General features: G+C 46.1%; 1 protein-coding gene and 1 long non-coding RNA gene across 43 annotated transcripts in view, besides 1 other annotated feature; one reads left to right on the forward strand and one right to left on the reverse strand.

Moving 5' to 3' along the window:
• The window catches only part of BOC (BOC cell adhesion associated, oncogene regulated), a 76,534-nt gene that overhangs the window by 37,346 nt on the left and 18,474 nt on the right, over window positions 1-20,714 (forward strand). For 33 of the 42 annotated variants that reach the window (NR_170866.1, NM_001378075.1, NM_001378073.1 and 30 more), the window contains 3 exons: window positions 1,451-1,628; window positions 2,284-2,562; window positions 20,028-20,174. Coding sequence is in view for 40 of the 42 variants with exons in the window: in NM_001378075.1 (NP_001365004.1) it covers window positions 1,532-1,628; window positions 2,284-2,562; window positions 20,028-20,174 (523 nt within the window). In the remaining 2 variants the exon portion in view is untranslated. Of the gene's footprint in view, window positions 1-1,450; window positions 1,629-2,283; window positions 3,735-20,027; window positions 20,175-20,714 lie in introns of those variants that run through there. The other 9 variants (XM_047449188.1, XM_047449184.1, XM_047449186.1 and 6 more) reach the window with 3 other exon arrangements.
• On the reverse strand, window positions 11,494-20,028 carry LOC124909409 (uncharacterized). The gene is made up of 2 exons (XR_007096006.1): window positions 17,821-20,028; window positions 11,494-15,232 (listed from the first exon to the last, which is right to left on the reverse strand). It is a non-coding gene; the product is annotated as an uncharacterized LOC124909409 (long non-coding RNA).
• Window positions 16,779-17,397: an enhancer, noted in NCBI's record as "H3K27ac-H3K4me1 hESC enhancer chr3:112983897-112984515 (GRCh37/hg19 assembly coordinates)". NCBI's record gives its function as "activates a minimal SCP1, AML or CMV promoter by ChIP-STARR-seq in primed H9 embryonic stem cells {active_cell/tissue: H9 hESC(primed)}" and the evidence as "EXISTENCE:reporter gene assay evidence [ECO:0000049][PMID:30033119]".

A 20,714-nucleotide genomic window follows, 5' to 3' on the forward strand; every position in this document is an offset into this window, starting at 1 on the left:
TCAGGCAAGTCGGGTGTCTCCTGTTTCTTACGGCAGTCTCTGCAGGCAGCCTGAACTCTAGGACTGGCCAGCACAACACATCTCTCAGTTGAGAAGCTTAACTACTTCTGAGTTTTAAATGGTGACTGTAAATCTTCGAGAGAGTCTCTGGTTAGGTAGATTGATCTAGAAGAGTTAACATTTTGAATGTATGTCACACTCCTAGAAATATACTATTAATATTGCCACAGGTGAATGATCCACCGTGCAGATCACTGGAATGTTGCCTTCAACGTTATCCGAACTCATTTCAATGCCTCCCTGCCTAATAAGGCTGTTGATACCCCATCCTTATTTGTTAATGTTCTATAAACCCATCAGTGAAAAGCACAGAAGCAAAATCTTTGTTTTGGCTGTGACAGAAGTGTGTGTGTGTGTTAGAATATACACTTGCCCATGTGATTTTGATAAATCTTGTAAGGACCATAGCTTAAGAAAGGCATAAAAAATTGTGCCTTCTGGAACAGGAGATGCTACTGTTCTAGGCAGAGAGGGTGACTGATAGCTGAGGTGTGTTGTCAGATGGCTGGAGGTGCAGTGTGGTCTGAGCCTCAAAGCAATGTTGTTCTGGGTGGAGATACAACTTGGGTAATCAAGAGTGTAGATTTTGTAGAGACGGAAAAGTTCAAAATTTTCTAGCACCGGGAGCAGAGAGAAGTGGGAGCTAGTGAGTGAAGCGAAAACAAGGCTCTGTGCCCTGAGAAAGTGAGGGGTCTTGGCTGGCTTATGACTTTGGGCTGTGTTTGTACCTGTGGGAGTAGATGTTATGGACAAGCTGAGGAGAGCAGGGTGATTGCAGGAATAAAAGGGAGTTTTCAGGGATCTAGGCATAGAGCTGGGGTGAGGAAAATCAGAGCAGGAAATATTTCATGAGTCACTGAGATGCTAGGATTCATTCACTTAGTAGCATTCCCTGCAAGGGCGTTCTGTATGCATCACACACACGGCACTGCTGTCCCACAATAGTCTGCACTAACCACATGGCAGGGCACATGGCTGTGACCAGCTGGCCTTTTGCAAGCAAATGGTAAGAATAATCTCATCTGTTCTAGCATCTGTGCCAGATAGTCACTGTCCTGTGCCATGGATATGGCTGCAGGCCTCAGCCTCTCTGTATCCTCTGCCCCTCCTCCTCGTTGCTGTCCATCCACTGGGCAAGACTCCAGCATTCTTACTACAATAAAATCACCTTCTAGCTAGAGAAAGAGCCCTAGGGGGCAACTTATAAGAAGCTTCTTTTAGATGAGAAATGGCACTATAGTGTTCTTTGGTCTTCCAGCAGCATGACCGGGTCTCTAGTTTGAATGTTGCCAACAGGGAACAAGGGACAAAGCCAAGCCCTGTGGCCACCACAGGTGCACCCCAGGCATCCTCATCATGGCCATTGCTCTCCCTTTCTCTCTTACAACAGAGTGTTGCCAGGGACGGCAGTATCTCTTTGTGTGACCCTGGCGGCTTATGGGACGTTGGCTTCAGACCTTTGTGATACACCATGCTGCGTGGGACGATGACGGCGTGGAGAGGAATGAGGCCTGAGGTCACACTGGCTTGCCTCCTCCTAGCCACAGCAGGCTGCTTTGCTGACTTGAGTGAGTGCTTTCCTTCCCTTTCCCTGCCCTTACAGTCAAATGGAAACATTCCGCATTCTACAATAACTCTTTAAAAAGGCCTTCTTTACCTGGATTTCAAAGAACACTTTATTCCCATTGGCCTTCAGGGACACAAGAACACAAGATGAGACATGATCACAACAACATCATATTGGTTATAGTTTGGTATTTGACTCATTTCAAAGCTATACCGGAGGAGGAGGAGAAGTAATAATAATAACTGCTTTTTATTGTGCACTTACTGTACAGTGTCACGGCAGGCAATTTACACATATCGTTTGCAAGACTCATGACAACCTTGTGAGACAATCAATATTAGCTTCATTTTACAGGTAAGAAACGGACACTTCACAAGGCTAGAGTCACATGGCTCAGAAGTAGTGGCACTGGGATGAGACTCAGGTCTGTCCAAATGCAAAGCCCAAGCTCTTGCCTTTACAATACATTCTCACTCCACATCTACTCTCTGGGAACAAAGGCAGGTTGGGAAATGGACAAGAGCAGTAGAGTCGGAGAAAGACCAGCTTCTCTGGTGGCCACTTCTGGAAGACTTCCTGGGTGCAGTGCTTCTAAAAACGTGATGTTGTTTTCTTGGGGGCATCAGTTCATTGCTGCATCCCTGTTCTTCCTCCAGACGAGGTCCCTCAGGTCACCGTCCAGCCTGCGTCCACCGTCCAGAAGCCCGGAGGCACTGTGATCTTGGGCTGCGTGGTGGAACCTCCAAGGATGAATGTAACCTGGCGCCTGAATGGAAAGGAGCTGAATGGCTCGGATGATGCTCTGGGTGTCCTCATCACCCACGGGACCCTCGTCATCACTGCCCTTAACAACCACACTGTGGGACGGTACCAGTGTGTGGCCCGGATGCCTGCGGGGGCTGTGGCCAGCGTGCCAGCCACTGTGACACTAGCCAGTGAGTCTGCTCCTTTGCCTCCCTGCCATGGTGCGGTCCCTCCTCATCTCTCCCACCCTGAAGCCCCCACCATTCATGCTGCCTCTTGTTACTCTTAGCATAAAATGGGCCTTAACTGCAGAAATGTCAAATCAGAACAGTAGCTGCCTAGTAATGCCCAGTGATGGGGGACCCTTGTGCCCTTGGAAAACCTCACTCCAAGTAGAGGCTGTATCTGGAGTGAGTGTCTACAGAGAGGGGAATTGGTCAGTGCATGGCAGAACTTGACATGGCAGAACTGTTCCGTGGGCCCCAGAGCAGGGCCGTGCCGTGCCTTCCTACTTGGTCATCCTGTGGCTGTAGGTGCACTGTCCCAACTGCTCACACACCTTCCAGTCCCCTCCCTCCATTCTCACCACAGTTACAGTCGGAGCAGGGAGAGACAGGACACCAAGAGACATGGGCAGGGCCACGTGTAGTCTGGACAGAGCCCACCCAGCCCAGACTTGGCCTCCTGTCTCTCTGTGAGGGGCAAGCATAGTCCGAAGGCCTGGATTATAAATATTAGAACATAATGAAAAGGAAACTGTGTGGCAAAGGGATAAAGGGATACAGAGAAAAGAAACAAGGAAGAGATGAGGTGACAGTTTGGACCAAGGAAAATGCCAAGAGAAGACTTCACACTACCTTTTTTTTTTCTGGTTTTGCCATTCTTTTATTCATGTTGTTACACTCAGTATAGGATAGTTTATTAAAATCATTATGTCTGTAGACATTCTATTTGTGATATAGAAATTGTGTTATTTCTGACCTCTATTTTTTCCTATTATGTGACAAAGAACATAGGTCCTCAGACCAACATGTGGAAACCAAGGGCCAAATGGCTTCTAAGGTCCCTCCCAACTGAATAATTCTGGTAAATTCCATTTCCATGTGCTCACTGACGGATGGTCCTAATAACCGCTCTTATTTCTTTTATGCTTGTGAAAGTCATAGTTTTTACAAAATTACTTGAGGGTGTATTATAAAGATTCAACAGAGCAAAGTAAAGGCCAAGTGACTTGACATAGTCATAGCTGGAAGAGGAGCCTTACCAAGACAGGTGTTTCTAGTTGCCATTATACTTATTCTACCTTATGAGGACCCATTGTATGAGGCTAGATGGAAGTGAGTAAACAGACGTCCTACCTTTGCATGTGACTGCCACTTGGTGTGCTGTGTCCCAGGCGCAACACATACACTATCTGATTTTCTACTCATTGTATGTATGGGCACGTGAGACTTGATGGATTCAATACACCACTGAAGGCTGGAGAGCACCCCTGACAGCCATTCTTATATGCTGAGCCTGTGGCCAGGAAGCTTAAAGAACTGCCTCCAATTTGGCCCCTTTCCTGGCGCCTGAGGTGTAGAAAATAGGGAAACTTGTTGAGACTTTAATGGTATGTGGATTTAAACTTTGAGAAGATTTCCAGGGCTTGTTCCCTCATGACTCAGCAGCACCCCGTTATCCCTGAAAGCCCTGCTTTGGGCATCCATGTCACCATCATCATCATCATCATCACCCTTGTGGATGACGTGCTTCCAGGAGGTTGGCGGTGCTACATCATGGGGCTTACCTAAGGCAGCGAACTTTTGAAATGCCCCTCTATCCAAGAAAGCTGGGGTCCTTGGGGTGGGTGAAGCTTGAGTCCTGGGAGGAGAGTAGGGAGGGATGGAGAAGCAGTAACAGAATGGAGGAAAGCCCCTACGTGCCCTCCAGTCCCCAGATCCCTGGAGGAGCTTCACTCTGTGGGTCAGTGGAATGGAGGCTGCCAGGATTCCTCTTTTCTTGGGACAGTCAAGCAAGGCCTGCCCTTTTCTCAGAGGGAAGGCAGAGTGTGTCCTCAGCTGTCTCCCTGAGGAGCCAGGCTGACACTGGGCTGCATCTTGGAGCCCCCCTCACAGTGGAGCCACTCCTCTTTGTGGCAGAAGGGTCACCCATGGAATCTGAGTGCCTGGCCTCGGGGAGCAGCCTGTGAGTGCTCAGGGAGGGAGGCAGGCCGTGGGTGGCTAGAGGGCCCTCCCTTCCAGCTGTGCTTGTTGGGCGGGGGCTGCTATGAGGCTTGGGTGTTGAAGGTAGAGGGTGCAGAGGGGTCATCTCATCACGTCAAGAAGGGCTGAGGTCAGAACTACGTTTCCTATCATTGTACAGTTCCCACCTCCACTTTGATATTTCCACATTATAATTGCATTATAGAATGTTTAGGATATATATAAAATAATCTCTCATAAGCCTGCTATCTTCATATAACCACCACCATCATTTTGGAGTATACCCTTCCAGTCTTTATCCCTGCTCATATTTTTAAGTTGTAATGATACAACAAATATACAAGTTCTTTTCTCTCTCTTGATGTTGTATGATAAGCATTCTCCATTGGCCATATGACCATGTTAACTTTTTTATTGAGTATAAAATGCATACCAGGTCTGGCACATAGAGATCAGAGATAATTATTACAATATGGCTTACACCTGTAATCCCAGCACTTTGGGAGTCTGAAGCAGGAGGATCATTTGAGGTTGGGATTTTGAGACCAGCCTAGGAACAAAAATTTTTTTTAAAAAAATAGCCAGGCGTGGTGGCGTGCACTTGTATTGCTAGCTGTCTCGGAGGCGGGAGGACTGCTTGAGCCCAGGAGGCAAGGCTGGGGTGAGCCAGTCTCTTACAAATGAGATGTGGCTTTTTTGGAGACCCTGTCTCCAAAAAACAAATAAATAAAATGCATACAGTAAAGTACACAAAGTGTACTAATCTTAAGTGAACAACTGATAACATTTTTCATGTACATCCACCCATGTAACCATCCCCAATGTCCCCTCATGCCCCTTCCTAGTTAGTCCACCCTCCCAGCCCCCACCAGTACTTATGATCGTAATTACTAGTGGTCCTAGAACATCTACCTTCTACCCTTTTCCTGTTGCTGGACAATTAGGGCCTTTCCAGTTGTTGATTATTGCAAATGAGATGCGCCTTTTAGCAATGCGTGTGCCCTTAAAGAGCAGCACTGCTCATTCAACAGGGAGGTTTCATCTGCAAATGGGCAGCACAAGTCTGTAGAGACTCAAGACCATAACCATTCATTTGGCCTAATTAGGAGCCAGGCTGAACCTTTTATTGTTTGGGAAAGGGAGAGTTGGAGAGTGGAAGATTTATCTTGGAGCCTTCCTTCTGCTTCAAGGTGTATCTGTGTGAGGAGAGACAATTTATTAGCCTTCATTTTAAAAATATTCCTGGCTGCTTCTTCCTCTGGTGCTTGAGGGGATCTGTGGTTGGCAGAAAGGACAAAGGGAAGTGTTTGGTTGCAACCCAAGAAGGCACAGTAAGAGAAGAAGGGGCTTGTGCAGAAGCCGAGCTGGGCTTATTTGAAAGCCAAGAACTATTGGCTTGTCATTTAGACATGAATCAGAAGGCAAAATGTTTGGGCCTGACTAGAAAGAAGAAGTGCTGAAAGTTGAGAGAGCAGGCATGGGGGGCTGTGTCATGAAAAAGAGGGAGTTGGTGGAGTGGAACTGCAAAGCTTGGAGGAGGCAGCAACGAGGTGGCGGGAAGGTGGGTGGGGGCAAGTGAAAGGGGTGCTGTCTTTGGGTTAATGCCATTAGGGGATCTGGCCCAGACGCAGCAGTAGATTAAGTTTCTGAAAGCACATTCCTGAGCAGAATAGGGGCTGTGTTTTGCTGGTTGGCTGATGTATGAGGGAGGCCAAGTGGTAGACGGGATTACCGAAGGCACGGTCTGCATTTAGAGGAAAGACTGGGCAGCGGCGTGCCGGTGCACACGCATGCACACCCACACACACTCAGCATGGTAGGCTTCCTTTTCCTCTGGCCTCTTCTCCACGCTGTCCCATGTTCATCCTCGCACAAAGCAGTTGCTGTCTGGCCTACCTGGCAAGATGCCACCTCCTGCATCCACCCTTTAGAAGGGTCATGGGGCTATAGGTCATGGGGCTTAGGACCAGGCTTGAGGATTCAGGGGTGGAGGGGAGGCCTCTAGCAGAATAATTTTCTGGTCCAGTGTTGGAAGCTGGAGGGTCCACTTGTACTTCACCCTGACCAGGTGACATCATCTTTTGATTTTCGGTAAAATGGAGCCAGAGGTCAAATCAACTGAAGAGTCTCACCTGCACTCTCTCCCTCCCTCCACCCCAGGTTGTCCTGGCCATGTGGGTAATGGCTGCTGCATGCTCTGTGGAGGTGCCCATCTCGCTGTCCTCTGAAGAGTTTTTTATTTCCTATTTAACCTAAACTTTAAAAAAAAAAGAAAAACTTTCTTGCTGCCAATGCCCTGCTTCAGATCATCTTGTCTAATTCTTGGTTTTTGAAATGCTTTTAACTTTGAACTCCTTCCTTTCACTTCCCTTTCCCTTTTCACAAGCCTCACACCAGGCAGCCAACCGCTCTACACAGCTCAGCTGTTCCCAGTCTGCTCCTGAACCAACAGCAGACCCTGCCAGGGAGCACTCCACTCCTTCTTACTGGACCCTGAGTTCCACCTCAGGCCTGTTCTCAACACAGTATGGCAAGGAGTCACAACCGACTCATCAGAGCTGGCAGTGGAAAAGCTGTTCTCAATCCCTTACCTCTAACAGTCAACCATTAATAATTGTTTATTTTTAACTTTTAAGATTTTTTGATAATTTTATTCTCCCAATTCTCCCATCATCCCTAGGTCCCACTGGTAGCTGGAAATAAAACAGGTGGTAACCAGGTAGCTACCTATAATTCTAAACTTGGGAATTTTAGTCCTCAAGTTAATGTGAAGTCTTAAGCTGCAGCCGGTATAATTGAGAACAGATCGGTCACCGCTCCTTAAGGCCTCCTAGCGCCAAGGCCAGGCATATACTCCTGAATGGTCCTGTCTCTGGCATCAGAGATCAGCAGGCAAGGTGGCTGACAAGAAAGGAAGGAGTCCCCCTCGCCACTCAACCTCATGAATCTCTGACTTTGAGAAAATGTCCAAAGTGACCAGGGGCCCTTTGTTACCATAATTTAATTTAACCCATGAATAAAATGAAGGGCCAAACTGGTATAATGGAAAAAACAAGAAGCTAAAAAAAATTTTTAAATTCTGGGTTTAAGCCTTAGCTCTGCCATTTAAGTGTTCCATGACTTTGAGCAAATCACTTGGTCTTTAGACTGACTGCCACAGCTGTGAAATGAACACAGTAATTACATCACCAGTCTCATGGGTTTTTTGAGGATAAATGGGAGAATGTATAATATTAGTATTTGAGAGCATTTTAGAAATCCCAGGCTTTATTTGTTCGCCCATGTGGTTGTCAAACATTTCTGGAGTGTCTCCTTTCTGGAGGCTCTAAAGCCCGTGTCCAGCCCTGTACTGCCCAGTTCCATTCTGGGAGTGACCCTTAGGAAGACAGTCCAGAGGGTGGCAGAGCTTCCAGTCATAACCAGAACCAATAGAGGGCTGGCTTCTTATAAAGAGAGAACTAACCCATTCCTGTGACTTTCTTAGTTCCTTATATACATGTGCTCTCTAACTCAGATTCCCACCCCAGCCGCCTTCAGGAGCAGCCACGGTGTCATGGTGCATTGTCAGTGTAGCCCGCAGAGCTGCTCACTGATGCTCCTGTGGGTTCACTGCTGCCCACTCAACTGCTGCCGTATACAGACAGCTGTTGTTTTGCACTGACAGGCTGGGCTGACCCTGGCCTTCAGCATGGTGAATCTTACAAACAGAAGCTATGTCTCTTTGCTCAGCTCCCCTAACCGCTAATTCCCATCACACACTTCACTAAGGTCACCTAGGTTCTGACTGTGAACTAGAATAGTCCATAGTCCATTAAGGACCATTGTAGCGATTTCTTTCTTAAAATATTTCTAGCTTCCTTTATCTCTGTATTAGGGTTCTCCAGAGAAGCAGAACCAATAATACATATATGTGTGTGTGTGTGTATATATATATGTATAATATATTTAATTTTGTATATGTATAATTATATATTATACAAAGATTTATTTTAAAGAGTTAGCTCATGCAGGCTGTAGATTCAGGTAAGAATTGATATTGCAGTCTTAGGGTAAAAGCAGGAAACTCAGGCATATTTTCTGTGTTGTGTTCTTCTCTGGAAAACATGTCTTTGCTATTAATACCCTCAATGATCAAATGAGGCCTATCCCCACTAGGGAGGGTAATTATTTTCTCAAAGTAAAAGATTGTCTAGCAAAGTTGACACATGAAATTAACCATCACAGTCCCCTACTGTCCACCTGAAATACACCACCTGCCTGGAGTTCTTTTGGAATATGTCTCTTTGGAGACAATGTGAAGAAATTAGATTCTCCCTAAGTCCAGCTCCCAGAATCATTAATGGCACCTTTAGACGGAGATGTTTCCACGCTGCCAGGACAATGGTTATTCCTTAACCTTTATGGAGCCATGAGCTCCATTCAAACCTCTGGATGCTTTGGATTTCAACCTTGGGTGGAGCTGACCATTGGAAGATGCAGACACAGAGACCCTGTTGCCCCAGCCCCTACCAGAGATGCATTCACTGGTTGCAGAAACAGCTTCATGAAGTCCTCTCACCTTGGCAGAGGCATATTGTTTGGATTCTCTTTGGCCACAGGTGTCTCAGAGCAAAATTGTGGTTTAATTTGGGCTATCTTATTAAGACTATCCTTTCCTAATTTTCCCCTAGTCTTGATTTTTAAATATATATATAAAACCTATGTCTTGATTTTTTCTCAAGATTTTTTTTTCTCAACTCCTCTGTGAAGTGTAGGGGTGGAGAGGATGAGAGAAGAAACAAGCAAGCAAGAACTCAATTAATAAAATAATTTATCTTTCATTTCCAACAGTCATTATAATTTTCTTCCCAGAATATATTTTCTTACTACAATTAACAATCTACCTCTTTAATTTAATTTTGTCCTCAATACCTTACAACTTAATGCATTCTATTTCTAAAGGCTTCTATTAAATAAGGCAAGACCAAAATTCATGAGTCCCACTTGAAAAACAGCAAAGCACTCATTCTCCAGTGCTGACTCCTATATTTGGATGTTTTGGAGGTTGGTGCCCTAAGAATTGGGAACATTTAGAATTTCTAACAGAGCACAGTAAGATCTGGTCCTGGCCATTGAACATCTCTCAGTCTAATGGAGAAGGTGGACTTTGTTAACACATTAGTCATAAAGCAAGCCAGCCCCATGAGTTGCCCGCCAGAAATGTGAACAGATTTTAATGGGAGCTCGGAGGCTAGCAAGGATTCATTTCCATTTCAGGGGATTGCGGAAGACTCAGCAGTTGAGCCTTGAAGAATGTGTACAAGACAACCTTGATTTTTAATTTCTGAGTCCTCACATACCTTTCTCAGACCTTTAAAAACCAAATTCAGCTCTTAACATTGTGTATTCAGACCTAGGCCCAGTTCAGTTTCTCGGATGGCACCGATACTGCCATAGAAAGTTTTATTTCCATAGTGAGATATTTCCATGGTGAGCTCAATCGAATTCTTAATCTAGCCACCAGGTGATTGTCTCTCTCTCTCCATCCTGTTCCCCGCTCACCCCATTTCTTAACTGTTTCTCATCTCTTTTCTCTTTGGGTATGAACATTTTCTGATTAAGAAAGAAACTTAGAGTGTTTTTTCCAGTACTCCCCACTTCCGCCCCCGTCTGGTTCAGTTAGCCAGTGACTCCCTGACAAAACAGGAGGAGCCATTCGCTCCAAATTGGAAAAACATTTATGTGTTGGCTTGGGCATCAGGGAATCCTGTACAAGCTTTTTGCTTTGGGATGAAGGGATGGCAGTGAGAAGGGTTGTAGGGAAAGAAAACACAGGTGGCTTCCTAAGCTGCCCCAGGAGGGGAAGGAGATTTGCAGCTGGGGCAGAGTGTGAGCCTGCTTTGGCTGGGAGAGACAGAGACAGCTCCACACAGGGGAATGGAGTTGGAAAAGGAGAGCCAGCTTGAAATTTAGTTGTTCCATACCATAAGTTATGTGTATTTTACTTTGACACTTGGGCAAGAAAATTATTGAAAGATGGCTGAGATCTAAAAGGTGCCTGAGCAACTTGAGCATCTTAATAGGAAATGAATAAGGAATACCTTATAGCTTTAGGACAAAGTTACATCAACGCTTTCTGTTTTCTACTGGATGCAGGCAGAAATTAATAGCTCACTAGAATTATCCCTGATATTCTGGTGAAATCTTCAAATGGCATTGGCTACACTAGTCCTATTAGCCCTGGTGCAAGTACCCAGACAGATCCGTGGTGTAAGTTCTGCTCAGAGCATCTTGGCAGCAAATGTCTGCCCCAAACAGCCAGGAGTCCCATTCTATATTTATCAGAGGTCACTATTTACCAAACAGACCTCAGGTTCATAGTGCATCTTCTACCAAGGACACCCTTAAGGACTCTTAACCCACTCCACCCTTGTCCTCAATTCATTCTTTGCACTCACAGCCAAATGCTTAAATACAATACTGGGTTCATTTTCTAAGCTAAGAGAAAAGGGAAGGGCTGTGTAGTATGTTGATTCAGTGAGCCAAAACACAGTTTGAGGAGCCTTTTGCACCAGAAGCCAAGGGAAAGATTGATTTGCCGGCTTGAAATCACTGGACTCCTTTAAGGAGCATGGTGCAAGATGCTTTCTTTAGAACAAAAAAGAAAACCAAGAGAGCAAATGAGTCCTTGGTTCCCTCATTTTTTAAAAACAGCTTCACACCTCAGCATCCCCTGTTTCTCGTGTGTGTGTGGAAAAGTTGAGCAATTTCTACTTTGACTTTGTTTTTAGACTTTCAGCCATTTTTGGAGTCTGGTAATAATCTTGAGCTCTATAGAACAGTGAGTCTGTCCTGCAAATAGACGTAGTGTTCACATCCAAATTAAAGGATGATCACTTCATAATGAGAAAAAATGTAAACAAAAGGAAAAAAACTTGCTGAAGTAGAAACAGCATTTATTTTCCTATAGGGAGAATTGTGATTAATAGTGAGGTGCTTACAGCCTTTCCCTCAGGCCCACTTTCCATCGCGCACTTTCTCCTAGCTTTCAGAATGGTGGTCCCTCAGCTGGCAGCATCTTCCTCTCCATCTCCGTCCTCAGAAAGTTCCCACCTCTGTTGGGTTACTAATTCCTTCTCAGTTTTCAAGACTCAGGTATCTTCTCTAGGAATGTTTCTTGACCCCTTCAACTTCCAAGTCTAGAGTAGGTTCTCTTCCCGGCTTCCTTAGTACCTTGGGTTTGCTTCCACAGCCCTTTCTTGCCTCTCTATCTGGAGGGTAGGAACTGTTATTATGCATCTGTGTCCACAGTGCTGTCCACGGGGCCTGGCACACCATAGGCCTTCTGTGAATGTCATGAAAGAGGAAGACTCCCAGATAAAACATGTTTGAGGTCTAGAAGATGAAAAAGGGCATACACAGGGTAAATTAACAATTTCTGAATTTCCTTTTCAAATTCTGATATATTTAAAGTTTTCAAGAAGTATATAAGAAAGGATAAAGCAGGGACTCAGGATACAAAGAGGTTGAAGATACAAATGGATTCAAGAAAGACTTAGAAAAATTGATGAATGTCAGAAGCATAAAACAACATTGGAAAGAAACTGAGATGTTTGGAGGAAATTCTGGAACCTCAGGGAGATGCCAGTGAATTTGGCTCCATGACCTAACACAGGGGTCCCCAACCCCCAGGCAGCAGACCAGTACCGTTCCATGGTGGTGCATGGCCTGTTAGGAACAGGGTCACACAGCAGGAGGTGAGCGGTGGACCAGCAAGCATTACCATCTGAACACCACCTCCTGTCAGATCAGCAGTGGCATTAGATTCTATTAGAATAGAATAGAACAGAACAGAACAGAACAGAACAGAACAGAACAGAACAGAACAGAACAGAAAGAACAGAACAGAACAGAACAGAACAGAACAGGTTTTCACCATTCAATAGAATAGGGTTCACCATTAGAGGGTGAACCCTACTGTGAACTGTGCATGCGAGGGATTTAGGAGGTTGTGCGCCCCTTATGAGAATCTAACTAATGTCTATTGATTTGAGGTGGAACAGTTTTATCCCAAAACCATCCCCCCCAGTCTCCCCACCCATGGTCCATGGAAAAATTGTCTTCCATGAAACCCGTCCCTGATGCCAAAAAGGTTGGGGACCACTGTCCTCACATATACCTCAAGGGGCATTTTGGAGTGGGTGGATGGGATTGGTGCCACCGAGGCTGATGGGAGTATGCAGTTTCCAGGTGTGTGGGAAGAAAAAGCAGGCCCCACTGCCCCGTCTCTCCCACCTGGAGTTCTGTTCATCACAGCCACACCAAAGTGCTCATCCCCATTCTTTCTCTCAGCTCCTCAGCCTCCGCTTTCTCTCCTCCCTCTCTTCTTGCACAGGCTGCCAGCCCTTCCAAAGCCTGTGCCAGGATCCAGCTCTGGCTCTGATGAGTCCAGACCACCAGGACTCACATTAATTTTCCCACTGCTAAGTTTATAGTTTGTATTTGGTTGATCAGAGAAATATGTGTGATGTGGGTTGCTGGCAAGTAAATCTTTTTTTCCTTCTGCTCTTTCTTCAGTATATTTTTTTTCTAACTATTTCATTCCTTCATCTAGTCCAAAAGAAACTCCCCAGTTCTGCTAACCAGCCCTACCTCAGAGCGGCCCTGAAGTCGGGTAGATGAGATGGTCTACAGACCAGACATCTGTGTTCATCTGGCTGCCAGACCCAGTGGAGACATGGCTCCATCCTTGACTTGTCTTTGAGGATTAATCGCATTTCTCGTTCTCTTATGTCTTTTTTAAAAATGAAGTATTTTTAATTGGTTCAAGCCAAGAAATTCCTGAAGCCTCAGGCCAATTCATTGCAAATCATTTAATGACATTGCAAAATAGGTTCTTTTTAGTCTCTCTCCTTCTTCCTCTCCCACTCCTCCCTTCTGGCCTGCTTTCCCCTCCTGCCCACCCCCAGATTTCTCTCTCCTGTCTTGACTTTGATTTTCAGCCCTCATCCCCCAGTCTCTTTCATCTCTTCCCCAATCCCAGCTTTCTTCCACTGCTCAAATCTGGGTGTAAATCCCACCTCAACTGAAAGGAAAAGAAAGAAACAAGATTTAACAACTAATGTGCTTGGCATCTACAAAGGTTTGTTTTTTTTTTTAATTCTTCTTCTTCCTCCCCATGGAAACTGTTTTCTTTAAATAAAAAAGAGCATGCCTTGCTTTCATCAGAAAGTGTGTTTGAGAAATTTCATGTCATGTTTCCATGGTTGTCAGGAGAGAGCTTGGGAGCCAAAATTATTTGTGCAATTGGACAGGCAGAAAAAAATCCCAAAGACAGCAAACATATTTATCCAGTCTCCCTGCCTGCAAAGGGAGGAGCAGTACTCACTCTGCCAACTGTGTTTCTAAGTGTCTCTGTAGATTACAGTGTTGACTTAGGCTGGAGTGCTGGTGGAGGTGGTGAGGACTACGCTGGAGAACACCACGCTTGTGAATTATTGTGTCCTGCCTTGTCTATGTGATTGAAAGCTCCCTGTGGTTAGGAGCTATGTCTTTTCTTCTTTGTATTTTCTGCAGTGCTTGGCATAATAGACAATTCTGCAGCACCTGGCTTGCTAAATGAATGACTCAATGATGACCAGAGGGATGGTATTTTACCAAATGCTGGTTTTGTCCCGCTTTGTGGGCTGCAGGGGGTCTATGTGCCAGGGCTAAAATACTTAGTCACTACCCCAAATGCATGGCTTCTGAGATGCCTGCCCAGCCCACAGTAAACCCCAACCACTCACCAGGTGCCAGGCTTTCTGACCTCATGAGAGCACAATGAGGCTCCAGCCTTCTGTTTCTGTAGTTGTCCCACATCCTCAGCAGAAAACTGCCATGGCGTTTCACTTGCAGATCATTTTATTTCAGAGGAATAACCTTGGGGTCATGCCAAGCTATGGTCCCTCAAGTGACTTGGGGGTTGAGAATTGTGTTGGGACTTTTTGTCCATCAATGAAGCAGTTTGGGACACAGGAGAGCCCCCATATTGTCCAGGGGCAACATAGTGAGGAGTGTCAGGGACCCTTTGTCTTCTCAGACTCTACAGCCAAGTCTGTCTGATAGCCATGAGCCAGAAGCTCAACCAGAGAAAACTCTTAGTGACTTTACTTCTCCTGCACCTCGGGTGTCTCTCAAAAAGGGACTGAGGTGCAGGGAAGGACCAAAGGATCAGCATGCCACTGAGTAGTGCTCCAGTAGAGCAGAATCCTTTGTGCCTTGTAGCATTAGCCACAGATGCAGCAAGCTGCCACAGGGACAAGTTGAGGCTTGGAGGTTGTGACAGTTGGGGAATAGAATTATCCATCAGTCCAGAAACCTGCCAGTGGCCCTGAGGCTGCTAAGTCATCCTGGCAGCATTGCCACATGAGCCCCATGCGGTGCCCCGTGACCTAATGGATCCCATCCAGACCTCTGTAGAGGAATGCAGGCTTGTCCTGTGATCCCCAGGAACAGGCAGGAGGGTAGGACAGGACTGTGCATGAGAAGTACCTGCAGGGGTAAAAGGCCAAAGTTTCTTTAAGCATTCAGCAGAGCTCATGGATATGGGGATATTGGTAACTCCATGAAGCATCCAGCGGATGGTGGCGTCTTACTTCTCTTCTTACTTCAAACAGAATCGAACTTCAATTTGCAGCTTAAAGGAGAATGCAGGAGAAGATTGAATGAATAACTCCCTTGGAAGTGATTGATAGGTTTATGGATTACACCTGGGGCATTTAACTGAGACCCAACACATCCTGTAGTTGGACACGTAAAGTCCATGAAAATTGGGGGATAAGCTTACAATTAATATTTGACAATTTGTGTTATGAGAATGCATGAACATACACCAAATACTGTAATTTAATTCATAGCTCTGCCAAGCCTTTTATTAATAAAGGAAAGATAGAGACTAGAAGGTGGTGAGAAAGAAATTCAAGAGACATTCAAGATAAAATGTGCCAATTTGCGGTTTCACATGTGATCTGCTGATGGCAGCCACATCTATGTACCTTTGACAGTCTAATTTGCTTTCTGTTTTTCCCATAGCCAAAAGGGTCTGTGCCTGATGTGCCCTTTGAATGTGAAGAGAACACAGAGTACATCACATGATGTGTGTCTGAACACATCCCTGTAGCCTCTGTGTTCAGACAGCCTACAGAAGTGATGTATCAGAGTGTACGTATTCCCTTTGGAAACTGAGCTCCCAGAAGGAAGGAACTGGGCCGGGTTCTATATGGAGCCTAAAATATCATGGGCTTTCTCAGAAATCACAAAGCTCTGTGACAAGTAAATAAGGTCAGTAAACTCAGAGATGGCCCCAAAGACCAGGACTTCTGACCTGTTGGGAGCTGAGAAACAAAAGTGGGTCTACTAGCGTTTGATTAATGCGGACAAGTTAATGAAGTAGCTGGAAAATGCACAAAGAGAGGATGCAAAAGAAGGGTGCGAGGGGAGGGAAGGTAAGAGGATTAAAGCTGCAAAAACATTCCTCTAATGGATTTCTCAAACACACCAGCCAACAGGCAAGGGCAGGTGTCCTGTCAAACCATTTCCCCATGAAACCTGATCCATCTTTCTGCAGCGGAGGCCTGCTAACCCTATTTGTAATTGAAGGGCCTGTCCCTTATTTCCAGTGAAGCACACTGAGCAGCCTAGGGACTCGGCCAGGAAACCAGCTTTGCAGACAAAGGGGCCTGGGAACAGGCTGGTTTCCTTCATATGCGCCAGCTAGAGCTCCTCTCTGCATCTGCCCCATCTGATGGCTGGTTAGGCTCTTATTGATCATGAACTCCCCACCCCTCCCTGGCCCCCTTCCTGTCCAAAAACACTAGAGAAAGGGGTCCTCTGATTTTCAGATCATTCATCACTTCATTATTCTGCCTTTGATCCCTTAGTGAAACTCAAGTTTTACTCAAGCAGCCAAATTGGGAGTGTTTAAGCTAAGGCTTAAGCTTAGGAGGCACGGGGGGAGGGGGGATAGAGGGTAGGAGGGACAGGGCCAAGGACCGAACTGCTGCTTATTTGTTTTGAAGCCAGGAAGGCTCGCCTGCCAGTCGCCCCTTGTGGGGAGCTGGATGTCCAGCTGGGGTGCCCTCGGTCCTGCCTGCACAGGCTGTTGTGCACATGTTGGCATCAGAACAGAGGGGCTGTCTGGCCGCATGGCTGACCAGTGCCCAGCTTCATGCTCCCCCACTGCACAGCCTTCTGTCTCCAACTGAGCAGCTGTCAGAGGGTGCAGCAGGAGCCAAGAGGGGATTAAAAGAGACAGTGTTTTCTACCACTGGGTTGCTGAGGTGGGTGCCTGGCAGAGTGCATGCTCCCTCCGTGCCTGGATAAGCCCTCAATTACAATGGGCAGGAGCCTGGGGCCATGAAGATGGAGATGGCATCCTGGTGCCAAACTCCTTTCAGTTCCTTACATCTTTCTTGCAAAATGATCTGCTAGCTTTAAGTATATTCTTTGCTTAAGGCAAATTTCCTTGGAATGAGGTGAAGAAAAGGAGGAGGAAAAAAAAAAAAGAAACCTCTTGGTGGAGTAGTTTGGGACTTATTCGACCATGGAGGAGAGTGCTTCACAGCGCCTGAGGAATTTTCCAGATGCCCCTGAGCTCACAATCACTCACAGCTCACAATCATTCACAGCTCGCTTTGTGGGGAGCCTCCTGACTTGGCAGGTACAGGGCGCACTGGCCTGAAGGAGGATTAAGGCCTTTGCATTTTTTAAGTGAATTGCTTTCAGAAAACAAAGTTACCGATGTTTAGCTAGAACATGTTGAGCTCAAGCAATTCCTTTCCCATAGTCCAAACCTTCCTCTTCTCTGAGAGAAAACTCATTAGCTATCTTGGCTGAGAGGCTCAGCCAGGACTGGGCTAAATAATTTGTGGGACCAAATGCAAAATGAAAATGTAGGGTCCCTTGTTGAAGCATTATTAAGAATTTTCAGATGATGAAAGCAGAGCATTAAACTGGGTGTTACCCCATCAAGTGCAGAGGCAGGTTGCACACCCATCAAGCTGGCCTTGGGCTCAGCCTTCCAAACTGTATTTATTTAGCAAGGATTTAGAAAGCATTTGCTGTATCCTCAGTACTATGCAATAGAACTTGGGGTTGGGGTGAAGAGTGAAAAATTAATAGGCTTCTCACCAGGAATTTATCGTTTAGTTAGGCTCAGATATCACACACAAAACATTAAATAATTTTGAAATCATTATTTAAAAGCCCAGGAGGCCCTACACTTACCCACAGGAAGGAATCTATGAGAGATCTCGCCTTGACCCGCAGGCATCATGCTTGTTCAGCCTGGAAAGTGAAATGGGGCAATAGAAAGGAATCAGACAGCCAATCTCTGTTTTTTGTTAAGTTTTGTGTGTGTGTGTGGGTACATAGTATGTGTGTATATTTATCAGGTACATGAGATGTTTTGATACAGGCATGCAGTGTGAAATAAGCACATCATGGAGAATGGAATATCCATCCTGTCACTGTTTTTAACACATCACTCCTTGAATAGCATGTATTTCTTACAGCACATTTATTAGACCCATTTCACTTCTTTCTTCAGATCCCACATAACGTCTCAAGAAACATTGTATTTGCAAAATAGCTTCCATTGGCCACACTTAGATATAATGTTCACAGAACATTTGTTATGCTAGGCTCTTGTCTGTTTGTTCAAAATGTAGACCAACTTCAACTATGAATTTATGAGTTCAACTATGAGTTTCTAGGCAGCATAATGGGCATCTTGTACCTAACTCGTGGGGCTCAGCTTCCAAGATATTCATTCGTTCATTCATTAACATTCATTCATTTATTCATTCAACACTTGCCAAGTGTGTACTTGGGCCAGGACCTGGGTTAGGTTCAGGGGACACAGACAGGAACAAAACTCGGTCCACGCCCCTAAAGAGTTCATAGTCTAATATTGTAATCAAAGGGACATCAATCCTTTCACAGAAACAACAGGGCTTCCTCCCCTGTGTTGGCTTGAATTGACTAAGAGTTGCTGGGAAGTTCCATTACGTGGGAAGCCTCCTGACCTCACTGAGTACCTTAATCACCAGGCACTCCTAGGGTGACACCAGTTTGTTTTTGGTCATTATCTCTTGTCTTCTGTGAGAAACCTGATTCCAGCCCTCTCTGGGTCTCCACTGGAAACAACAGCAGAGGCAGGTGCAGTCTTGCAGTGAAATTGCAGTCAGTCCCAATGCTGTCAGTCCCGGGAGCTGAGCAGAATTTGGTGTGGCCAGTATTCGGAGAAGGTGCCTTCAGGGCTTTCTGAGTACCTTTAAGAAGAGAGTGTCTGGGTAAAATATTTCCATCTGTCTTATACTCCATTAGTTTTATTTCTCCTCTTAAATTCAGCTATAATCCTGAAAACCAGATTTCCAGCTTGGAATGCATGCAGTTTTGTTGTGCAAGTGGTCCCTGTTTTACTCAGCAACATGAGTGATTTGTCTCATACAAAGAGAGATTTGTTGTTTGGACTCTTGCATTGTTTGGGAAACATTCTGCTTTTATTCTAGATGAATCTCCATGCTCTCCCAGTTTAGATCCCATGGTGCCAAGCCAGGAGAGATGGCTATGGGGCTGCCAGAGACCACAGTCTCATGTTAGGACCCTGGCTCCTCCATAGTCCACTGCCATTAAGCCACCCTAGGGTGCTGCCTGTTGTCCTGGCAGATTCCTCTTTGTCTTAGAAAACCCTTAGGGTATCCAGAGTCCTGCCCCCAGCCCCAAGGAAGGATCCTCCGTGAAGTGGGGTGTGGCTCCTGAGCAGCAAGAATCAGCCTTCTGGTTATAACCATGGCCGGCAACCAAGTGGAATCTCAGGCCTGTTACTTGTCATCGTGGATGCCTAAGGAGAACCTGGGAAGGCTGTTCTTTTTTTTTGAGACATAGTCTCGCTCTTTTCGCCCAGGCCAGCGTGCAGTGGCGCGATCTCGGCTCACTGCAAGCTCTGCCTCCTGGGTTCATGCCATTCTCCTGCCTCAGCCTCCGAAGGCTGTTCTCAATCAACTTGGAGAAAAGACATGAGCATTCTCTTGTATCGTTCCCTTCCATCTCCATTAGTTGAGCCTGCTGACAGCTCTGCTAGGACATTTGTACTTTGACCCCCCCCCATTTCTGGGGTGTAAGCAGAGCCAACTTGCCCCCACATCTCAGTGTAACAGATGGTCTGAGCCAGAGGCACCCCTTGATGGGATTCTCTCTGCACCTTTCCCCAGCTTGTATATACAAAGTGAACCCCATCAGTGATGAGGGCCCCACATTCTTACAAACTCCTGTAGACAACAAGGGGCTGGAGGAAGAACTCGGAGGATCCCCTGATATCCCCCTAGGTGTGAGCTTTGTCATGACTGACAACACCAAGGCACAAGCCCACCCTGAAATGTCACACTTTTGCTCTGCTGTCCTCCAACCAGCACCTTCCCTTCTCTTCACAGATCTCCAGGACTTCAAGTTAGATGTGCAGCACGTGATTGAAGTGGATGAGGGAAACACAGCAGTCATTGCCTGCCACCTGCCTGAGAGCCACCCCAAAGCCCAGGTCCGGTACAGCGTCAAACAAGAGTGGCTGGAGGCCTCCAGAGGTGAGTGGGCAGGAGCCCAGAGGCCAAGGCTGAGGCCAGAAGGGAAGCTGGCCTCCTCCAACCGCTCGCTGCTCAACAAAGCTAGGGCAGCTGCTGCTGTCTCCCAAACCCCCCTCAACATGCCAGCAGCCCTGTCCTCATGCTAGCCAGCTGTCCTCCTCCCCTTTTTTTCCTTTTAAGAGACAGGATCTTGTTCTGTCACCCAAGCTGGAGTGCAGTGGCACAATCAGAGCTCACTGCAGCCTCCATCACCAAGGCTCAAGAGATCCTCCTTCCTCAACCATCTGAGTAGCTAGGACTACAGGCACACGCCACCATGCTTGGCTAACTTTAATTTTATTTGTTACAGAGACAGTCTTGCTATGTTGCCCAGGCTGGTCTAGAACTCCTGAGCTCAAGCAATCTTCCCGCTTTGGCTGAAATTACAGGCTTGAGCCACCATGCTTGGTCATGTGTTCTTTCTTGATATTTGGTCCTGTAGGGTCCCAAAGCAGGTGGCTTCCATTATGGAAGTCCTCTGTCTTAGCATGAGGAATTTCT

Source organism: Homo sapiens, chromosome 3 (assembly GCF_000001405.40).
Source record: "Homo sapiens chromosome 3, GRCh38.p14 Primary Assembly".
Taxonomy (NCBI): domain Eukaryota; kingdom Metazoa; phylum Chordata; class Mammalia; order Primates; family Hominidae; genus Homo; species Homo sapiens.